General features: G+C 41.4%; 1 protein-coding gene across 7 annotated transcripts in view; it reads left to right on the forward strand.

The window, feature by feature from the left end:
- Positions 1-19,841, forward strand: part of DIXDC1 (DIX domain containing 1) — a 95,339-nt gene that overhangs the window by 64,550 nt on the left and 10,948 nt on the right. For all 7 annotated transcript variants that reach the window (XM_017018466.3, XM_024448743.2, XM_017018467.2 and 4 more), the window contains 7 exons: positions 551-655; positions 1,087-1,140; positions 1,632-1,724; positions 1,805-1,876; positions 3,155-3,244; positions 3,539-3,700; positions 4,216-4,282. In XM_017018466.3, coding sequence (XP_016873955.1) covers positions 551-655; positions 1,087-1,140; positions 1,632-1,724; positions 1,805-1,876; positions 3,155-3,244; positions 3,539-3,700; positions 4,216-4,282 — 643 coding nt within the window. The remainder of the gene's footprint in view (positions 1-550; positions 656-1,086; positions 1,141-1,631; positions 1,725-1,804; positions 1,877-3,154; positions 3,245-3,538; positions 3,701-4,215; positions 4,283-19,841) is intronic.

A 19,841-nucleotide genomic window follows, 5' to 3' on the forward strand; every position in this document is an offset into this window, starting at 1 on the left:
TTCAGGGATTCTTTAACAACAGAGTGGCGGGCATGAATAGGGCCCATCTCTCCAGGAAATGGGGACTGGGCAGAGAGGTAGAAGGAAAAACAGCTAATCTAGATTGAGTATTTATATGCCCAAGATATAAATGAGAAAGCCCAGGTGGGAGAAAGTAGAGTGCATTGTCCAAGGCTGACATCACAAAAGTAGTAAGTGGTAGGTTTATAATTTGAATCTACGTCTATCTGATCCCAAAGTCCAGTCTTTCTCTCTCGAATACACCATGCTGTCAGGATTGAGGGTGGGGACAAATAGTAAGCAGAGAAAAAAAATCAGGCTTCAGTAAGTTTCATAGAACAGTGGATAGGATTTTGCTCTGGATGCTAGTTTCCTAGAGGGGGACAGAAAAACCCCTCCTCAGCAACTCGTGGCAAGACCCTTTACCCCATTTGTCTTCCAGTCTGCCATAACGAATGCTGGAAACACATTAAAGGCTTTAGTAATTTGTAATAATAACTGGCTGATTGATGAACTGAGACAACAATAATTAGTATGCTTTTTCCCCTAGGATGCCTTGCAGCAGAGATTGACTCAGCAGGACACATCTGTTCTTCAGCTCAAACAAGAGCTACTGAGGGCAAATATGGACAAAGATGAGCTGCACAACCAGAATGTGAGTTAAATGAATGAGCCTTGACCTCAGTGAGCCCCATTAGCAGAACAGGCTACTGCACGAAGAACTATTAGACTGGCCATCCTAATCTCTTATCTTGCTTCTGGGATGCCTGCCTTAAGTGTCTGCAGTTATTTTTATTCCCCATTAGACTCATCTCTGTTCCTAGGTGAAAGCCCACATCATACTGGGCAGGAAGGTCCTTGATCTCCTCTTCAACTTTGAGGACACTGAGATACAGAGGCAAAATTGTGGTTCTACAGTCTAATTACTTCACTAAAAATGTGGAGAGCAGCTGTGTATTTTTACCATCATACCCTCTCTGTGCTGCATACTGTAACTGCCAACATTAACTGGTTACTAAGTAGCTGGTTTCCTTGAGGGTTAGCAGGCAGTACCTGCGTGCCATGAATTCTTTCTTATTCTTGCAGGTGGATCTGCAGAGGAAGCTAGATGAGAGGAACCGGCTCTTGGGAGAATATAAAGTAAGAATGAATATCAGTTTGGAAATGACTTCCACTGACTTTTCATGAACAGCCCGTTATTGTTGCTCAAAAAGCACTTAAGTATTCTATTTTCATCCTTTTTGATTTTTTTTTATCCTTGCTTTTTAGAAGGAAGCATTTTTCTGTGTCCCCTGATGCACTAGCTCTGAAGAATAGATGGCACAGCTAGGAGAAGGAGTACAGGACTAGGGGTCTAGAAACTTCAGTTCTAGTCTTACCTTTATCTCTGACTAGTATGAATGGCTCATAGTGGTCCTCCTACAAATGCCAGTTCCCTTCTTCATTACTCTTGAAGAATCCTTTGCACTATGTAAGATTATTATGGTGTGTAAAGTCTTCCTGGTATATTTGAGGAAAGGACTTTTTTTCCTGAGGCTCTACTTTACTTGAGTGGAAGTTACACTGCAGAGGGTGAACTTTTCAGTGTCCCTGGTTTTGCCGCTCATCTTAAAGCTCTATCTTTATTGCAGAAAGAGCTGGGGCAGAAGGATCGCCTTCTTCAGCAGCACCAGGCCAAGTTAGAAGAAGCACTCCGGAAACTCTCTGATGTCAGTTACCACCAGGTCAGAACATATTCAGCCACTGACTTCCCTGCCTCTTTGGCCCAAAGAAATCATTTTCTGATTTAGTGTCTATTTTGCAGGTGGATCTAGAGCGAGAGCTAGAACACAAAGATGTCCTCTTGGCTCACTGTATGAAAAGAGAGGCAGATGAGGTAACCTAGACCCCGTGTTCTCCCTCCCACATTTATGAAGCAAACGGGGAGATTGTGTTTCTGACTCAGAGCTGAACCAAGGCCACAGGCTTGTTTGTTAGGAGGCTCTATGATGAGCTAGTTAAAAGTGCAGGTTCCAGAATAAGAAAATCTGGTTTCACGTTCCACCTTTATCACTCCTACATTCTGTGGCCTTCAGTTGCTTATCTTCTGAGCCTTAGAAATAGGGCTTATTTGGAAAATGGAAATAATAGTGATTCAGTCTGTCATTATGAAGAGTATATGAGATAATCCACATAAATAACTAAACACAGTTCTGTTGGAGCCACTTGGCATAGAGTCAGGCTCAAAAAATATTCACCATGGCCTGGCACAGTGGCTCACATCTGTAATCCTAGCACTTTGGGAGGCCAAGGCAGGTGGCTAACTTGAGGTCAGGAGTTTGAGACCAGCCTGGCCAATGTGGTGAAACCTCGTCTCTACTAAAAATTACAAAAATTAGCCAGGCGTGGTGGTGGATGCCTGTAGTCCCAGCTACTCAGGAGGCTGAGGCAGGAGAATAGCTTGAACCCGGTGGGTAGAGGTTGCCATGAGCTGAGATCATGCCACTGCACTCCAGCCTGGGTGACAGATCAAAAAACAAAACAAAACAAAACATACATATATATATATATTCATACATACATATATATACACTCACACATATATATACATACACACATATACACATATATACATATATATACACACACATATATACATACATATATAACCATACATATATATGTATATGTGTGTATATGTATATGTATGTATATATGTATATGTATGTATGTATGTGTATATTATGTATGTATATGTATGTATGTATATGTATGTGTATATATATGTATGAATATATATATATGTGTGTGTGTATATATATATATTCACCATTATTTTTAAATTACTGAAGCAAAGCCAGGCAGTGCTGGAGCAGCATTCTGAGGCTCTCCAGTGCTGTGGCAGAGGCTAGGTTGGGGCCTCCAGGTGGAGGTTAGCATTTCCTTTATTCACATCCAACAATGCGTACTAAGTGTCAAGTGCTGGGCATACAGCAGTGACCAAAAGGGGAAAAAAAATCTATACTTAAGAAAGATACATTCTAATAAAGAGAGCCATTAAACAGACAATTATATACTTCATCAGGAAGTGATAAATGTAAAGAAGAAAAATAAGATAGCACATCTGGTTTACAATTCTCCCTTTAACAAGCAACATTTCTTCATGCTGCTGTAGGCGACCAACTACAACAGTCACAACTCTCAAAGCAATGGTTTTCTCCTTCCAACGGCAGGAAAAGGAGCTACTTCAGTCAGCAACAGAGGGGTACGTACCTGGAGTTTTGATGGAGTCCTGCCACTTCTCACTGAAACCAGAAGAGTGCCAAAGCCATGGCCAGTGGATGAGGCCTTTTATATTCCAGTTCCCTAATTCCTGGATCTGTGGAGTGTGTAAAGATGTGAGGCACTTGCTATCCAAAATTAAGAATTAGTGGGCAAACCATAGGCCTGCTTCTGTGGGGGAAAAATCTTCTGGAAACTTCTCTCCTATATCCTTTTAAGCCCAGTGGTTGGGAAGTGGCACCGTGCCATGCCAGCAACACCTTATTTTTGCCCACAGACCAGCGACCTGCAGCTTGTTCGAGATGCTCTCCGCAGCCTGCGCAACAGCTTCAGTGGCCACGATCCTCAGCACCACACTATTGACAGCTTGGAGCAGGGCATTTCTAGCCTCATGGAGCGCCTGCATGTTATGGAGACGCAGAAGAAACAAGAAAGAAAGGTAACCCTCTTGCTGTGGTATCTCTCTTAGGCAAGCTCCTGAGAAAGCTGGGTTTTAAGAATTTTAATTGAGATGAAGGCAGTGTGAAGAGATACAAGACCCTGTTAAAGGTTAGAGTTGTTTTTCTCTATTGTTTTTTCTCTCAGTGGAACTGACTATTCATCATGGTATGACAATCCAGAGAAGAAGTTCATGGTCATACTTGCTCCCAGCAACTGTAGCTGTGTAAAGATTGTGGCTCTTGACCCCACAGGGTCTCCCTTTACGCTTCTTCCCCTCCCACCTACCCCTGATTGAGCTTGGCCTTGGATGAGAAAATATACGGAAAATGCACTGGAAACCAGAAAGCCTTTCATATATATTATTATTGTTAGGATAAATATATTAGATTTTATATGTTGTGGAAGAGATGGTAGAAAAGTATGTAGTATTTTAAGCACACTTTTATGATTTAAATTTCTTGGTTAAGTTCTCTCATTGATCATAACTCTTGTGATTTTTGTGTGGCTCCCCAGGTTCGGGTCAAGTCACCCAGAACTCAAGTAGGTAGTGAATACCGGGAGTCCTGGCCCCCTAACTCAAGTAAGTACCCATTTTTGCTCAGTAGGGACTCCTAGCATATTAGACCAGAAATTTAGTATTTTTCACACTACATTTTGGGGATGTAATTTTTCTTGTAGTACTTCACTTTTATACTATTTTGTTTCTGTAGCAATACTGCAATTGAGTTAGTTCTAAGACTATGAAGACATATGCCATCACCACCCCCAGTGCCATTTAGCCACGTGCAGGCAGGATGCTGTTGACTCAGAGAGGCTAAAATATCTTTGAAGAACACAGAAGCTCAAAAGATTTATGCTGAAAAAGCAAAATATAAAACAACAAAAACACATACATACGTAAATTTTTCTACACTCCCAAACAGCACAAAAAAAATTTCCACTTCTTCCTTGAAGCAAGGCGTTTAATTTCTTTGGAGATATTCTTAAAACTTTGAGTGCTCAGGCCGGGCGCGGTGGCTCACGCCTGTAATCCCAGCACTTTGGGAGGCTGAGGTGGGTGGATCACCTGAGGTCAGGAGTTCAAGACCAGCCTGGCCAACATGGTGAACCCCATCTCTATTAAAAATACAAAAATTAGCCAGGTGTGGTGGCACACGCCTGTAATCCCAGCTACTCATGAGGCTGAGGCAAGAGAATCACTTGAACCCAGGAGGTGGAGGTTGTGGTGAACCCAGATTGCGCCATTGCACTCCAGCGTGGGTGACAGAGTAAGACTCCATCTCAAAATAAAATAAAAACTTTGAGTGCTTAAGGCGTTTAGTTTAAGTCCTGCAAAATGTTTGCACCATCTAATGGCCATGGCTAGGAAGTGTATTTTAACCTGCTCCGTGCCCACTCTATATTTTTTCCCATTTGTTCAAACTTGTTGGAAAGCTACCCTGCCTGGTAATTTCTATTTTAGTTTGTATTTTGCCTTTTGTGGCTTAGTAATGTTCATGTTTTCTTATCTTTTAATCAGGCCTAATCAAAAGGTATCTAATAATTTATAAAAACCAAATAGTAAAAAGCTGACTAGAAACAGTTTTGTATGTTACATATAAATTTTTAAAAGCACATTAAGAAACCTAAAGTAAAAATCTGAAAATACTTGCAAAAATATGAAATGTAAAATTTTTTTGTGGAGTAAATAAAATAGCATTTCAAACCTCTGATCCCAGATATCTTTTCCTCTTGGATGAGGTTATCTATGCTGGGAATGAAACAAATTTTTTTTTTTTAGCGGCGGGGGATGGAGTTTCACTCTTGTTGCCCAGGCTGGAGTGCAGTGGCGCAATCTCTGTTCACTGCAACCTCTGTCTCCCGGGTTCAAGCAATTCTTCTGCCTCAGGCTCCCCAGTAGCTGGGATTACAGACGTGCACTACCACGCCTGGCTAATTTTTGTATTTTTAGTAGAGATGGGGTTTCGCCATGTTGGCAATGAATTATTTTATTACCAGAATTAGTTTCAGTTTCCTTTTCTAGCAGTGTTTCAAAATAGTCATTTCTATTGTTTGTAGAGGATTATTATTATTATTTTATTCATTGATTTCTTCAGATTAGTGTAAACTGCCAATATAAATAGGTGTAAATACTTAGAAATTTCTTTTTTAAGTACAATAAATTCCCCCCCAAAAAATTACTTTGTGCATATATAGTATTTATTTAAAGTACTACAAATAAATCTATAGCTGCTTGAAAACTAAGATGTTAATCTAATGCTTCCAGTGATAACTGTATTCACAAATAAGCTGAAATATCTCTTATCTGAAAATACAAAAATCTGTGTAACTTCTGCCAGCTCTCTAGCTACTGACTTATTTCTCTTACTCCTGTACATCAAAATTCTTAAAAGAAGAGTCTATATTTGCTCTCTTTTCTTCCTCACTTCCTGTTCACTACTCAGCCCACTACAGTCTTTTATCTGTTACTTTGCTTAGTGTTCTTCTTGTTGGGTCTCTGTTGACTTTCTTGTCGCCTAATCAAGTGGTTACTTTTTAAACCTTATCTTTCATTGTCTTTTCAAAAGCATTTACTATTCTCTAAAAGTCTCCTGGAAACTTTCTTCTTCTTCAGTTTCAGTGTCATTCAGATATTCATTTAACATATTTACTAAGCATCCATTATTCACCATCAATGTTAGATGCTGGAGATATAGAGATGAAGAGGTTAGACTTGGCACTTGCAGGTAGTGAAGTAAATACCTGAGTTTTCCTTCTAGTCCCTCTTGAATCTCCTTTTATTCTGCTCTAATTCTTGAATGTTGATGTGTCCTGGGATTCCATCCAATTGAAGCCTAAACCTAAGCCTTTTCATATTGTCTTTGGCGTCAGGTGACCTCTTCCACTCCCCTGGCTTTAACTACACTTGTGTGCCGATAATTTTTATGTTTTATCTCAAATCTCAGTTATTTTCTGAGCTTCAGTACTATTTTTTATTTTTATTTTTATTTACTTTGAGACAGAGTCTCGCTCTGTTGCCCAGGCTGGAGTGCAATGGCGTGATCTCGACTCACTGCAAGCTCTGCCTCCAGGGTTCAAGTGATTCTCCTGCCTCAGCCTCCTGATTACAGGCGCCCGCCACCACGCCCGGCTAATTTTTTGTATTTTAGTAGAGACAGGGTTTCACTGTGTTGCCCAGGCTGGTCTTGAACTCTTGAGCTCAGGCAATCCACCCACCCCGGCCTCCCAAAGTGCTGGGATTACAGGCGTGAGCCACCGCGCCTGGCCTAGTACTATATTTTTAAATGTAAACTAGATATCTCTCTCTGTAGGTCCCAAGGCACTGTAAAGTCATGTCCAAAACTGGACACAAAACAATAGAGAGGGAAAAATACAGAATATACAATCAAACAGATCTAGGGTACAATTTGGGCTGCACCATTCAGCACAGTGTGTGACCATGGGCAAGAATGTTAATGTCACTGAATCTTAGTTTCCTTTTTTATGGAACCAAAGTAATATTGAAGAATTTGAGCATTAAATGAAATACATAGAAATCATCTAGTGTACTGTGGAGCATATGAGAGATGCAAGGCAAATGTTTCTCATTCCCCTCTGGCTGTGCCCTTTCTCTTTCAATATAATTAAATTTCCTGAAAGAGTATTGTACTTTCTGAACCCACTTCCTTTCTTGCCATTTACTCTTAAGGGAAAACAATAATTATTTCAGATTTAAAATAAAACAGTAGATTAGTGAAATCAAATTGAGAGTTCAGATAAAAACCCATATAACCAGAGAATGTTCTTTTCAACCAATGGTGCTTGGGACAACTGGATATTTCCATGAAATGGGACCCCCTACTTCACACCATATACAAAAGTTAACTCAGACTATAGATCAGTGACTTAAATGTAAGAGCTTAAAGCTATAAAGTTCTTAGAAGAAAACATAGAGAAAAATATTCATGACCTTGGATTTGGCAGTGGATTCTTAGGACATCAAAAGCATGAGCAACAAAAGAAAAAAGATAAAATTGGGCTGGGCGCAGTGCCTTATGCCTGTAATCCCAGCACTTTGGGAGGCTGATGTGGGTGTATCACCTGAGGTTGGGAGTTTGAGACCAGCCTGGCCAACATGGTGAAACCCTGTCTCTGCTAAAAATACAAAAATTAGGTGGGCGTGATAGTGGGCACCTGTAATCCCAGCTACTTGGGAGGCTGAGGCAGGAGAATCACTTGAAACCGGGAGGCAGAAGTTGCGGTGAGCTGCTCCAGCCTGGGTGATAGAGTGAAACTCCATCTCAAAAAAATAAATAGGCCAGGTTCACGCCTGTAATCCCAGCACTTTGGGAGGCTGAAGCAGGCGGATCACCTGAGGTCAGGAGTTCGAAACCAGCCTGGCCAACCTGGCGAAACCCTGTCTCTACTAAAAATACAAAAATTAGCTGGGGGTGGTGGCAGGAGTCTGTAATCCCAGCTACTCGGGGGCTGAGGCACAAGAATCACTTGAACCTGGGAGGTGGAGGTTGCAGCTAGCTGAGATTGCGCCACTGCACTCCAGCCTAGGCTACAGAGGGAGACTTCGTCTCAAAAATAATAATAATAAAATAAAATAAATAAATAGATAAAAGATAAAATTGGACTTCATCAAAATTAAAAACTTTTGTGTATAAAAGAACACTATCGAGAAAGTAAGTAGACAACCTACAGAATAGGAGAAAATATTTGCAAATCATATTGTCTGATAAGGGTCTAGGATCCAGAATATATAAAGAACTCTTACAACTCAACAGCAAAAGGACAAACAACCCAAGAGAAAATAGGCAAAATACTTGAATAGACATTTCTCCAAAGAAGATAAAGAAATGGCCAGCCAGGTGCGGTGGCTCACACTTGTAATCTTAGTACTTTGGGAGGCTGAGGTGGGCAGATCATGAGGTCAGGAGATCGAGACCACCCTGGCCAATGTGGTGAAACCCCGTCTCTACTAGAAATACAAAAATTAGCTGGGCGTGGTGGTACGCACCTGTAGTCCCAGCTACTCGGGGGGCTGAGGCAGAAGAATCACTTGAATCTGGGAGGCGGAGGTTGCAGTGAGCTGAGATTGTGCCATTGCACTCCAGCCTGGCACCAGGGCAAGATTCTGTCTAAAAAAAAAAAAAAGGGCCAATAAACCCAAGAAAAGATGCCCAAAATCATTAGTCATTAGGGGAATGCAAATCAAAACCACAGTGAGATACCACTTTACACCTACTAAATGGTGTCAAAAATGGAGAATAATAAGTATTGGTGAGAATGTGGAGAAGTTGGAACTGTCATACATTGCTCTGGGGATGTGAATGGTGCAGCTGCTGTGGAAGACAGTTTGGCACTTCCTCAAAAAGTTAAACATGGAGTTACCATATGACCCAAAAGAATTGAAAACAGGAGTTCAAAAAAACTTGTACATCTATGTTCCTAGCAGCCATATTCACAATATTCGAAAGGTAGAAACACCCCAGATGTCCATCAACTGATGAATGGATAGACAAATTCTGGTATATGCATACAGTGGAATATTATTCACCTATAAAGAGGAATGAAGCACTGATCCATGCTACAACGTGGATGAACTTGGAAAACATTATGCTAAGTGGAAGATGCCAGACACAAAAGGGCACATATTGTGTAAGTCCATTTATATAAAATGTCCAGAATAGGCAAATCCATAGAGACCAAAAGTAGAGTGGGTTAGCCAGATGCCAGGGTCAGGAGCGAGGGAGGAATAGGGAATAACCACTCAGTGCATACAGGTTTTCTTTTGGGATGATGACAGTGTTCTGGAACTGGATAATGGTGGTTGTTTGCACATCATTTTAAATGTACTAAATGCCATTGAATTGCACACCTTAAAATGGTTAAAATGGTGAATTTTACTACAATTTTTAAAAAGTGAGATTTTGTAAAAAATAGCAGTTCTGCCTTCTGCCTAGGATGTAGAAAGCCAGAAAGAGCCTTGCTTCTACCCAAAAAACAAGAAAAAGTTGGATAATCTAAAAAATCGTAACTTTCTTGAACCCATCAGAGAGATGAAATCATAGTGCAGTCAACTAGCCTGAAAAAGAAACAGGCACCTACAAGGAGAGATAGGATACAAGTACTGGCTCACTTGTGGTAGACCCTGGGAGGAAGATGGGGCCACTATACAACAGATAAGAATTCAGCTGAGATTTTTTTTTTTTTTTTTTTGAGACGGAGTCTTGGTTTTGTTGCCCAGGCTGGAGTGCAATGACACGATCTCAGCTCACTGCAGCCTCTGCCTCCCAGGTTCAAGCAATTCTCCTGCCTCAGCCTCCCAAGTAGCTGGGATTATACATGCCCACCACCACACCTGGCTAATTTTTGTATTTTTGGTAGAGACGGGTTTTCACCATGTTGGCCAGACTGGTCTCGAACTCCTGACCTTAGGTGATCTGCCCGCCTCGGCCTCCCAAAGTGTTGGGATTACAGGGGTGAGCCACTGCGCCTGGCTTGAGATTTTTAATTATTTGCTAAAGGCTGAGAAGACAGTATAGGAACCTTGGGAGCCACAGACACGAGGAATTTGCACCCACTTGCAGACACTTTTTCATGACTACCAGGTGCTTATGAAAATGTTGGTTGTGACAGTGAGATATCATCTTACCCCAGTTAAAATGCCTTTTATCAGAAAGACATTTGACACAGCAGGCATGTGAAAAAAAAAAAAAGGATGCTAGCAAGGATGCAGAGAAAGGGGAATGCTTATTATGCACCATTGGTGGGCATGTAAATGAGTATAGTTAAATAGAAAACAATGTGGACATTCCTCAAAAAAATACAAATAGAGCTACCATGTGATCCAGCAATTCCACTGCTGGGTATGTATCCAAAAGAAAGGAAATCAGTATATCAAAGAGGTATCTGCATTCTCATGTTTATTGCAGTACTATTTCCAATAGCCAAGGCTGGTCACAGTGGCTCGTGCCTGTAATCCCAGCACTTTGGGAGGCTGAGGCAGGAAGATCGCTTGAGCTCAGGAGTTCGAGATCAGCCTGGGCAACAGAGCAAGACCTTGTCTCTACTAAAAATAAAATTAGGTGGACATGGTGGCACACACTTGTAGTCCCAGCTATTCAGGGGGCTGCGGTGGAAGGACAGCTTTAGCCTGGGAGATAAAGGCTGTGGTGAGCTGTGATTGTGCCACTGCATTCCAGAGTGAGATCCTGTCTCAAAAACAAAACAAAACACCAAATAAACAAAAACACAATAGCCAAGATATGGAATTCATCGAAGTGTCCATCAACAGATGAGTGGGTATAGAAAAAAATATATATATGCAAAGGAATATTATTATTCAGCTATAACGAAGCATAAAATCCTTTCTTTTGCAGCAACATGGATGGAGCTGGATATTATTATGTGAAGTGAAATAAGCCAGGCACAGAAAGACAAGTACCACATGTTCTCTACCAGTATGTGGGAGCTAAAAAAAATGTTATCTCATGGAGATAGAGAGTTGATTGGTGGTAACCAGAGGCTGGGAAGGCTTGGGGAGGGTGACAGAGAGGTTGGTTAATGGATACAAAAATACAGTTAGATAGAAGGAGTAAGATCTAGTGTTTGATAAGAAGTAGGGTGACTATAGTAGAATTTATTGTATAGTTTGAAATAGCTAGGCTGGGCGTGGTGGCTCATGCCTGTAATCCCAGCACTTTGGGAGGCTGAGGTGGGCAAAACCTTGTCTCTACTAAAAATACAAAAATTAGCGGGCGGGTGGCAAGTACCTGTAATCCCAGCCACTTGAGGCACAAGAATAGCTTGAACCCAGGAGGCAGAGGTTGCAGTGAGCTGAGATCGCACCACTGCACTCCAGCCTGGGAGACAGAGTGAGACTGTCTCAAAAAGGAAAAACAAAAAAATAAAATAGCTAGAAGAATTGGGATGTTTTAACGTAAAGAAAAGATAAATGTAGGACAGGCGCAGTGGCTCACGTCTGAAATCCCAGCATGTTGGGAGGCCAAGGCAGGTGGATCACCTGAGGTTAGGGGTTCAAGACCAGCCTGACCAACATGGAGAAACCCTGTCTCTACTAAAAGTACAAAAATTAGCCAGGCGTGGTGGTGCATGCCTGTAATCCAGCTACTCGGGAGGCTGAGGCAGGAGAATCGCTTGAACCCGGGAGGTGGAGGTTGCGGTGAGCCGAGATCATGCCATTGCACTCCAGCCTGGGAAACAAGAGTGAAGCTCTGTCTCAAAAAAAAAGGAGAAAAGATAAATGTTTGAGGTGATGGATATCCCAGTTACTCTGACTTGATCATTACACATTGTATGCACGTATCAAAATAACACGAGCCAGGCATGGTGGGCTTATGCCTGTAATCTCAACTACTTGGGAGGCTGATGTGGGAGTATTACTTGTGTCCAGGGATTTGAGACCAGCCTGGGCAACATAAAAAAACCCCATCTTAAAAAAAAAAAAATTATATATATATATATATATATATGTATGTATATATATGTGTATATATATGTGTGTGTATATGTGTATATATATGTGTGTGTATATGTGTATATATATATGTGTGTGTATATATATATATCACATGTAACCTAAAAATACGTAGAACTGATATGTATCAATTTAAAAATTAATAAAATATGCTTTTGGTTAAAAAAAGGTTGGCTGTGGGGATAGAGTCTAAAGAAACCCTCCCTCCCTCCTTCATGGAGCAAGGGAGCAGCTGCCACTGCAGGAAAGGCATGAAGCCACATCCAGACCATTCTCGCTTACGGAGCAAAGCCTTAAGCCACTGTGGAAGCGAAGTAAATCCTGTTGACCCCTCCGTCCCTGCTCTAGGCAAAGGTGAAGACCCATTACAGCTAGTGGGGATGGAAAGGAAAAGGAACACTACCTTGGCAGAGGGGCAGGAAACTATCTTGGACTCAGATTGTAAGAGGTCGCCTACCACTGGGGGAGGGACAGGATCACTGAGAAAACCCCACTTAAAAACTGGGGCTGCGTCAGGACAACAGAGAAGCACTGCTCATCCCCCACCACCAGGGGAGCAAGCACTGTTCAATTAGGAGCAGTGGACTGCTTCTGAGGCAGGAAACAGCATACAGAGACTGACTGAGGCACAGGCATATGAGGAAAGCCTACAGCTGAGGGAGGGGAAGGAACATTGAGGAACGACCCTCCAACAAGCAGCTGTCCCTAAACCTAACTCTAGAAGACTTGGAAAATGGTGGTGCACTGAAGGTAACCTTAACAAAAATCTCAATCCCAGCTCAGCTTCTGACCAAATTAACTCAACTGTCCCTACCGATGGCCTGGAAGAACAAACAGTGTGCCCATTTCTAAACAGATACTTTTACCTCTGTCTCTCCTGTCTTAACATATGTCTGGCATTCAATAAGAAATTATGAGGCATCCACAAGAGCAAGAGAAAAACGAAGCCACTGTGAAGAGCGAAAGCAGTCAACAGAATCAAACTCATATATGACAAGGATGTCGAAACCATCAGACAAGGAATTTAAAGTAACTGATTCATATGTTAAAGGCTGTAGTGAAAATGTTGATAACATGCACATACAGGTGAGGAAGACTCAACTACTGTTTATAGGAAACCCACTATAAATATAATGATATAAATGGATTTAAAAGTAAAAAGATGGATAAAGATATACCATGGAAACACTAATCAAAAGGAAGTGTGGTTATATTAGTATCTGATAAAGTATACTTGAGAACAAGGAATCATTCCAGGTATAAAGATGATACATAATAATAAAAAGGTCAATTCACCGAGAAGACATAATAATCCTAAATGTGTGTATACCCAATAACAGCTTTGAAATACCTGAAGCAGCCCAGGCACTGTGGCTCATGCCTGTAATCCCAGCATTTTGGGAGGCTGAGACAGGAGGATCACTTGTGCCCAGAAGTTTGAGACAAGCCTGGGCAACATGGTGAGACCCTGACTCAACAAAAAAATAAAAAAAATTAGCCAGGTGTGGTGGCATATGCCTGAAGTCCTAGCTACTTGGGAGGCTGAGGCAGGAGGATCACTTGAGTCTGGGAGTTGGAGGCTGCAGTGAGCTGTGATCACACCACTGCACTCCAGTCTGGGCAGCTGGGTGACAGACAGAGTGAGACACTGTCCTCTCCCGTCCCCCCCTCAAAAAATACATGAAACAAAAACTGAAAGGAGAAATAGATAAATCTAGTTACAATTGGAGGCTTTAATATTTCTTCTTTGCAGTAATCAGTAGAAGTAGTGTACAGAACATCAATAAGAATATAGAAAACCTGGGCCGGGTGTGGTGGCTTATGACTATAATCCCAGCACTTTGGGAGGCCAAGGCGGGCAGATTACTTGAGGTCAGGAGGACAGTGGGTGTAGCCCACGGAGGGTGAACCAAAGCAGGGCAGGGCGTCGCCTCACCCAGGAAGCGCAAGGCGTTGGGAGATTTCCCTTTCCTAGACAAAGGAAGCCCTGACAGACTGTACCTGGAAAAAACGGAACACTCCTCCCCCAAATACTGCGCGTTTTCAACAGTCTTAGCAAATGCAGACCAGGAGCTACTATCCAGTGCCTGGCTCGGTGGTTCCCACACCCACAGAGCCTTGCTCACAGCTAGTGCAGCAGTCAGAGATTGAACTGCGAGGCAACAGCCTGGCAGGGGGAGGGGCACCTGCCATTGCTGAGGCTTGAGTAGGTAAACAAAGCTGCCTGGAAGCTCAAACTGGGCGGAGCCCACCACAGCTCAGCTAGGCCTGCTGATTCTGTAGCCCCCACCTCTGGGAGCAGGGCATAGCTGAACAAAAGGCAGCAGAAACTTCTGCATACTTAAACGTCCCTGTCTGACAGCTCTGAAGAGAGCAGTGGTTCTACCAGCATGGCGTTTGAGCTCTGAGAACGGACAGACTGCCTCCTCAAGTGGGTCCCTGACCCCTGTGTAGCCTAACTGGGAGACACCTCCCAGTAGGGGATGACTTACATCTCATACAGGCAAGTGCCCCTCTGGGACAAAGCTTACAGAGGAAGGATCAGGCAATATTTGCTGTTCTGCAATATTTGCTGTTCTGCAGCCTCCACTGGTGATACCCAGGCAAACAGGGTCTGGAGTGGACCTCCAGCAAACTCCAACAGACCTGCAGCTGAGGGACCTGACTGTTAGAAGGAAAACTAACGAACAGAAAGGAATAGCATCAGCATCCACAAAAAGGACATCCACACCAAAACCTCATCTCTAGGTCACCAACATCAAAGACCAAAGGTAGATAAAACCACAAAGATGGGGAGAAACCAGAGCAGAAAAGCTGAAGATTCTAAAAACGAGAGTACCTCTTCTCCTCCAAAGGATCGCAGCTCCTCACCAGCAAGGGAACAAAGTTGGACGGAGAATGACTTTGATGAGTTGACAGAAGTCGGCTTCAGAAGGTCGGTAATAAACTTCTCCGAGCTAGAGGAGGATGTTTGAACCCATTGCAAGGAAGCTAGAAACCTTGAAAAAAGATTAGATGAATGGCTAACTAGAATAAACAGTGTAGAGAAGACCTTAAATGACCTGATGGAGCTGAAAACCATGGCATGAGAACTTTGTGATGCACGCACAAGCTTCAATAGCCAATGCGATCAAGTGGAAGAAAGGGTATCAGTGATTGAAGATCAAATTAATGAAATAAAGTGAGAAGAGAAGTTTAGAGAGAAAAGAGTAAAAAGCAACGAACAAAGCCTCCAAGAAACATGGGACTATGTGAAAAGACCAAATCTACGTTTGATTGGTGTACCTGAAAGTGACAGGGAGAATGGAACCAAGTTGGAAAACACTGTTCAGGATATTATCCAGGAATACTTACCCAATCTAGCAAGGCAGGCCAACATCCAAATCTAGGAAATACAGAGAACACCACAAAGATACTCCTCAAGAAGAGCAACCCCAAGACACATAATTATCAGATTCACCAAGGTGGAAATGAAGGAAAAAATGTTAAGGGCAGCCAGAGAGAAAGGTCAGGTTACCCACAAAGGGAAACCCATCAGACTAACAGCGGATCTCTCGACAGAAACTCTACAAGCCAGAAGAGAGTGGGGGCCAATATTCAACATTCTTAAAGAAAAGAGTTTTCAACGCAAAATTTCATATCCAGCCAAACTAAGCTTCATAAGTGAAGGAGAAATAAAATCCTTAACAGACAAGCAAATGCTAAGAGATTCTGTCACCACCAGGACTGCCTTACAAGAGCTCCTGAAGGAAGCACTAAACATGGAAAGGAACAACCGGTACCAGCCACTGCAAAAACATGCCAAATTGTCAAGACCATCGATGCTATGATGAAACTTGCATCAATTAATGGGCAAAATAAGCAGCTAACATCATAATGACAGGATCAAATTCACACATAACAATATTAACCTTAAATGTAAATGGGCTAAATGCCCCAATGAAAAGTGACAGACTGGCAAATTGGATAGAGTCAAACCCATCGGTGTGCTGTACTCAGGAGACCCATATCACGTGCAGAGACACACATAGGCTCAAATAAAGGGATGGAGCAAGATCTACCAAGCAAATGCAAAGCAAAAAAAAAAAAAAAAGAAAAGCAGGGATTGAAATCCTACTCTCTGATAAAACAGACTTTAAACCAACAAAGATCAAAAGAGACAAGGCCATTACATAATGGTAAAGGGATCAATTCAACAAGAAGAGCTAACTATCCTAAATTTATATGCACCCAATACAGGAGCACCAAGATTCATAAACCAAGTCCTTAGAGACCTACAAAGAGACTTAGACTCCCACACAATAATAATGGGAGACTTTTACACCCCACTGTCAATATTAGATCAACGAGACAGATTAACAAGGATATCCATGACTTGAACTCAGCTCTGCACCAAGCAGACCTAATAGACATCTACAGAACTCTCCACCCCAAATCAACAGAATATACATTCTTCTTAGCACCACATCACACTTATTCTAAAATTGATCATACAGTTGGAAGTAAAGCACTCTTCAGCAAATGTAAAAAACAGAAATCACAACAAACTGTCTCTCAGACCACAGCACAATCAAATTAGAACTCAGGATTAAGAAACTCACTCAAAACTGCACAACTACATGGAAACTGAACAACCTGCTCCTGAATGACTACTGGCTAAATAACGAAATGAAGGGAGAAATAAAGATGTTCTTTGAAACCAATGAGAACAAAGACACAACGTACCAGAATACCTGAGACACATTTAAAGCAGTGTGTAGAGGGAAATTTTTAGCACTAAATGCCCACAGGAGAAAGCAGGAAAGATCTAAAATCGACACCTTAACATCACAATTAAAAGAAATCGAGAATCAAGAGCAAAGAAATTCAAACGCTAGCAAAAGGCAAGAAATAACTAAGATTGGAGCAGAACTGAAGGAGATAGAGACACAAGAAACCTTTAAAAAAATCAATGAATCCAGGAGCTGGTTTTTTGAAGGGATCAACAAAACTGATAGACCGCTAGCAAGACTAATAAAGAAGAAAAGAGAGAGGCATCAAATTGACACAATAAAAAATGATAAAGGGGATATTACCACCGATCCCACAGAAATACAAACTACCATCAGAGAATACTATAAACACCTCTACGCAAATAAACTAGAAAATCTAGAAGAAATGGATAAATTCCTGGACACATACACCCTCCCAAGACTAAACCAGGAAGAAGTTGAATCTCTGAATAGACCAATAACAGGTTCTGAAATTGAGGCAATAATTAATAGCCTACCAACCAAAAAAAGTCCAGGACCAGATGGATTTACAGCCAAATTCTACCACAGGTAGAAAAGAGGAGCTAGTACCATTCCTTCTGAAACTATTCCAATCAACAGAAAAGGAGGGACTCCTCCCTAACTCATTTTATGAGGCCAACATCATCCTGATACCAAAACCTGGCAGAGACATAACAAAAAAAAGAGAATTTTAGACCAATATCCCTGATGAACATCAATGCGAAAATCTTCAATAAAATACTGGCAAACCGAATCCAGCAGCACATCAAAAAGCTTATCCACCACAATCAAGTCAGCTTCATCCCTGGGATGCAAGGCTGGTTCAACATACTCAAATCAATAAATGTAATCCATCACATAAACAGAACCAAAGAGAAAAACCACATGATTATCTCAATAGATGCAGAAAAGGCCTTCAACAAAATTCAACAGCCCTTCATGCTAAAATCTCTCAATAAACTGGGTATTGATGGAACGTATCTCAAAATAATAAGAGCTATTTACAACAAACCCACAGCCAATATCATATTGAATGGGCAAAAACTGGAAGCATTTCTTTTGAAAACTGGCACAAGACAGGGATGCCCTCTCTCACCACTCCTATTCAACATAGTGTTGGAAGTTCTGGCCAGGGCAATCAGGCAAGAGAAAGAAATAAAGGGTATTCAATTTGGAAAAGAGGAAGTAAAATTGTCTATGTTTGCAGATGACATGACTATATATTTAGAAAACCCCATCATCTCAGCCCAAAATCTCAAGCTGATAAGCAACTTCAGCAAAGTCTCAGGATACAAAGTCAATGTGCAAAAATCACAAGCATTCCTGTACACCAATAACAGACAAACAGCCAAATCATGAGTGAACTCCCAATCACAATTGCTACGAAGAGAATAAAATACCTAGGAATCCAACTTACAAGGGATGTGAAGGACCTCTTCATGGAGAACTACAAACCACTGCCCAGGGAAATAAAAGAGGACACAAACAAATGGAAGAACATTCCATGCTCATGGATAGGAAGAATAAATATCATGAAAATGGCCACACTGCCCAAGGTAATTTATAGATTCAATGCCATTCCCATCAAGCTACCAATGTCTTCTTCACAGAATTGGAAAAAACTACTTTAAAGTTCATATGGAACCAAAAAAGAGCCCACATTGCCAAGGCAATCCTAAGCAAAGGAACAAAACTGGAGGCATCATGCTACCTGACTTCAAACTATCCTACAAGGCTACAGTAACCAAAACAGCATGGTACTGGTACTAAAACAGATATATAGACCAATGAATCAGAACAGAGGCCTCAGAAATAACACCACACATTTACAACCATCTGATCTTTGACAAACCTGACAAAAACAAGAAATGGGGAAAGGATTCCCTGTTTAATAAATGGTGCTGGGAAAACTGGCTAGCCATATGTAGAAAGTTGAAACTGGATCCCTTCCTTACACCTTATACAAAAATTAATTCAAGATGGATTAAAGACTTAAACGTTAGACCTAAAACCATAAAAACCCTAGAAGAAAACCGAGGCAATACCATTCAGGACATAGGCATGGACAAGGACTTCATGACTAAAACACCAAAAGCAATGACAACAAAAGCCAAAATAGACAAGTGGGATCTAATTAAACTAAAGAGCTTCTGCACAGCAAAAGAAACTATCATCAGAGTGAACAGGCAACCTACAGAATGGGAGAAAATTTTTGCAATCTGCCCATCTGACAAAGGGCTAATATCTAGAGTCTACAAAGAACTTAAACAAATTTACAAGAAAAAAATCAAACAACCCCATCAAAAAGTGGGCAAAGGATATGAATAGACACTTCTCAAAAGAAGACATTTCTGCAGCCAACAGACACATGAAAAAATGCTCATCATCACTGGTCATCAGAGAAATGCAAATCAGAACCACAATGAGATACCATCTCACACCAGTTAGAGTGGCGATCATTAAAAAGTCAGGAAACCACAGATGCTGGAGAGGATGTGGAGAAATAGGAATGCTTTTACACTGTTGATGGAAGTGTAAATTAGTTCAACCATTGTGGAAGACAGTGTGGCGATTCCTCAAGGATCTAGACTAGAAATACCATTTGACCCAGAGATCCTATTACTGGATATATACCCAAAGGATTATAAATCATGCTACTATAAAGACACATGCACACGCATGTTTATTGCAGCACTATTCACAATTGCAAAGACTTGGAACCAACCCAAATGTCCATCAATGATAGACTGGATTAAGAAAATGTGGCACATATACACCATGGAATACTATGCAGCCATAAAAAAGGATGAGTTCATGTCCTTTGCAGGGACATGGATGAAACTGGAGTTCATCATTCTCAGCAAACTATCACAAGGACC

Source organism: Homo sapiens, chromosome 11 (genome assembly GCF_000001405.40).
Source record: "Homo sapiens chromosome 11, GRCh38.p14 Primary Assembly".
Taxonomy (NCBI): domain Eukaryota; kingdom Metazoa; phylum Chordata; class Mammalia; order Primates; family Hominidae; genus Homo; species Homo sapiens.